Source organism: Homo sapiens, chromosome 6 (assembly GCF_000001405.40).
Source record: "Homo sapiens chromosome 6, GRCh38.p14 Primary Assembly".
In the NCBI taxonomy this organism is placed as follows: domain Eukaryota; kingdom Metazoa; phylum Chordata; class Mammalia; order Primates; family Hominidae; genus Homo; species Homo sapiens.
In genome coordinates this window covers 98,700,824-98,703,658 of record NC_000006.12, presented here as the reverse complement: position 1 = coordinate 98,703,658, position 2,835 = coordinate 98,700,824, and the positions used below count along the sequence as shown (strand labels likewise).

Genomic DNA, 2,835 nt, shown 5'->3' with positions numbered 1-2,835 from the left:
ATTCTGCACAGGTTACTGCTGTCTTTTTGTTTGTCTGTGCCCTGCCCCCAGAGGTGGAGCCTACAGAGGCAGGCAGGCCTCCTTGAGCTGTGGTGGGCTCCACCCAGTTCGAGCTTCCAGGCTGCTTTGTTTATCTAAGCAAGCCTGGGCAATGGCGGGCGCCCCTCCCCCAGCCTCGCTGCCGCCTTGCAGTTTGATCTCAGACTGCTGTGCTAGCAATCAGTGAGATTCCGTGGGCGTAGGACCCTCCGACCCAGGTGCCGGATATAATCTCGTGGTGCGCCATTTTTTAAGCCGGTCGGAAAAGCGCAGTATTCGGGTGGGAGTGACCCAATTTTCCAGGTGCATCCGTCACCCCTTTCTTTGACTCGGAAAGGGAGCCCCCTGACCCCTTGCGCTTCCCAAGTGAGGCAATGCCTCGCCCTGCTTCGGCTCGCGCACGGTGCACGCACCCACTGACCTTCGCCCACTGTCTGGCACTCCCTAGTGAGATGAACCCGGTACCTCAGATGGAAATGCAGAAATCACGCGTCTTCTGCGTCGCTCACGCTGGGAGCTGTAGACCGGAGCTGTTCCTATTCGGCCATCTTGGCTCCTCCTACCGAAAATCTTTATATCACATAATCCTGAGAAATTATTTGGGAATATCAAGGCTCTGTAGCAAGAGGTAAACATGGTATTAATTGTTCATAAGAAATTTTTACATTATAAAAATATTTGAGTACCTATAAAATTAAAGAAAAAACAAAGCCAATATTTTAAAAGTTAATTCCTCTCACTTTGGTTTTGAGTTTAGAATTTAACGTTTTAGTGGTGGTGAAAAGTTTAGATACATAGTGTTTCTCAGTTCTCCTTATAATCCAGACTAAATTTTCAGACTAAAAATAAATCAGGATATGTGCCTGGCAAGTACAGACACCTATGGGGACTGTGGAACAGCTATTTGAAAGCACATTTAGAACCTGACTGGAGGTGAGTGGAATCCATGACTGAGGGACCGAATTTTCCTCCTTGGAGAAAATCAGCATGATGGGGACTTAGGGTCTTGCTGATATGTTGTTAATTAAAAGGAATTCTACCAAAGGGGTAGAGTGGCTTAGAGAATGGTGCTAAATCAGAAAAAATTAGAATCAATACAGTGTGAGCCACTAGAAATCATTAACCAGCAGGAAACAAGCCAAAACAAAAGTTAAGATTCATTGCTGAATGACATTTTTGTTCCATCATCAAAATATATATCTTTTAAAAAATCATCAAATCATTAGTTTGTCACTGGTAATTTTAGTCTCTACTCAACTGAGATGAATCTATGTTAAATAAATGGACATATTTTGGGGAATCCAGTTGTAGTCATAGTTTGCTAGCAGTTTAAATATAGTAGATTCCCAAATTCCAATCCAATATTTACCCTTTTTCTAATATAGATGACTCTGCTTTTTCTTCCTATAGATGAAAAGAAATACATGAGTTGTTTTTGACACAGATTACAAATGTGCATCATAATATTTCTGGGATACGTTTTATTTTCTAGTTTATGTGCTCTTATAATTAACTAGATATCTTCAAAAGAAAGAATTCTAGTTCAGGGCTCAAATTAAGAGCAAGTAACTATAAACACAGTGCTTGATTCATAAAAATAAACAGCACATATGGGCTTCTGCTGCAGATGTTATACCCTGGAGTGTGCCCTGATTTATTTTCAGCTAAATAAGAATAGTACAATCACATAGATGTGTAATAACATATGAGTGTCAGTTATATTAGAATGCACTCTATGTGCAAGTAAGACAAGAGCATTTGCAAGTAGATTTTATTAACCTCTGAAACTGCAAAGTGTTGGTCATATTATTTTTTGCTTTACAGAGGGTAAACTCTCCCAAACCTGCTAGTACCCTTTATCTGCCATCACTCAGTCCTCAGGGTGTTTTGTGCTTATGCAGAGCACTGTACACATGAATATGACCTCTTCATAGGGAAGTTAAAGAATGGGCATTTTAGGCCAGGTGTGGTGGCTCACACCCGTAATCCCAGCACTTTGGGAGGCTGAGGCAGGCAGATCACGAGGTCAGGAGATTGAGACCATCCTGGCTAACACGGTGAAACCCCGTCTCTACTAAAAATACAAAAAAATTAGCTGGGGGTGAACCCGGGAGGCGGAGCTTGCAATGAGCTGAAATTGCGCCACTGCACTCCAGCCTGGGCTACAGAGCGAGACTCCATCTCAAAAAAAAAAAAAAAGAATGAACATTTTATTGAGCATTTGATGTGTGCCATGCGCATTTATTTACATTCAGTTACTGTTTGCAAATAGTTTAAGAAAACCCCCCAAGCCCCAATATTTGTGTCATTTATTAATGGACAACTCTGCCTTTTTTTTTTTTTTTTTTGAGACAGAGTCTTGCTCTGTCACCCAGGGAGGCAATATTGACACAATGCAACCTCCGCCTCCCGGGTTCAAGCGATTCTCCTGCTTCAGCATCCTGAGTAGCTGGGACTGCAGGCATGCACCACCATGCCCAGCTAATTTTTGTATTTTTAGTAGAGACAGGGTTTCACCAGGTTGGCCAGTGTGGTCTCGATCTCTTGACCTTATGATCCGCCCACCTCGACCTCCCAAAGTGCTGGGATTACAGGCATGAGCCACCGCACCTGGCCTCAACTTGTATAAAAGATATTTAAAGATAGTCAGCTGGAGGGTTTATGGTTTGATCCTCTGAAAGGGCAGAAAGTACCACATGGTGAATAGCTTTCTATCAGCAGGTGTCTTACATGAACTCTTAGCAGGCACAGCTCTTATTCCATTCCTGATGATGATGCTGTCAACAAGCAATCATA

General features: G+C 42.7%; 1 annotated feature.

Annotated features, from left to right (window-relative positions):
- Positions 389–561: a silencer, noted in NCBI's record as "fragment chr6:99150974-99151146 (GRCh37/hg19 assembly coordinates)". NCBI's record gives its function as "represses an EF-1alpha promoter that drives an FKBP-Casp9 reporter gene in an ReSE screen in HepG2 liver carcinoma cells {active_cell/tissue: HepG2}" and the evidence as "EXISTENCE:reporter gene assay evidence [ECO:0000049][PMID:32094911]".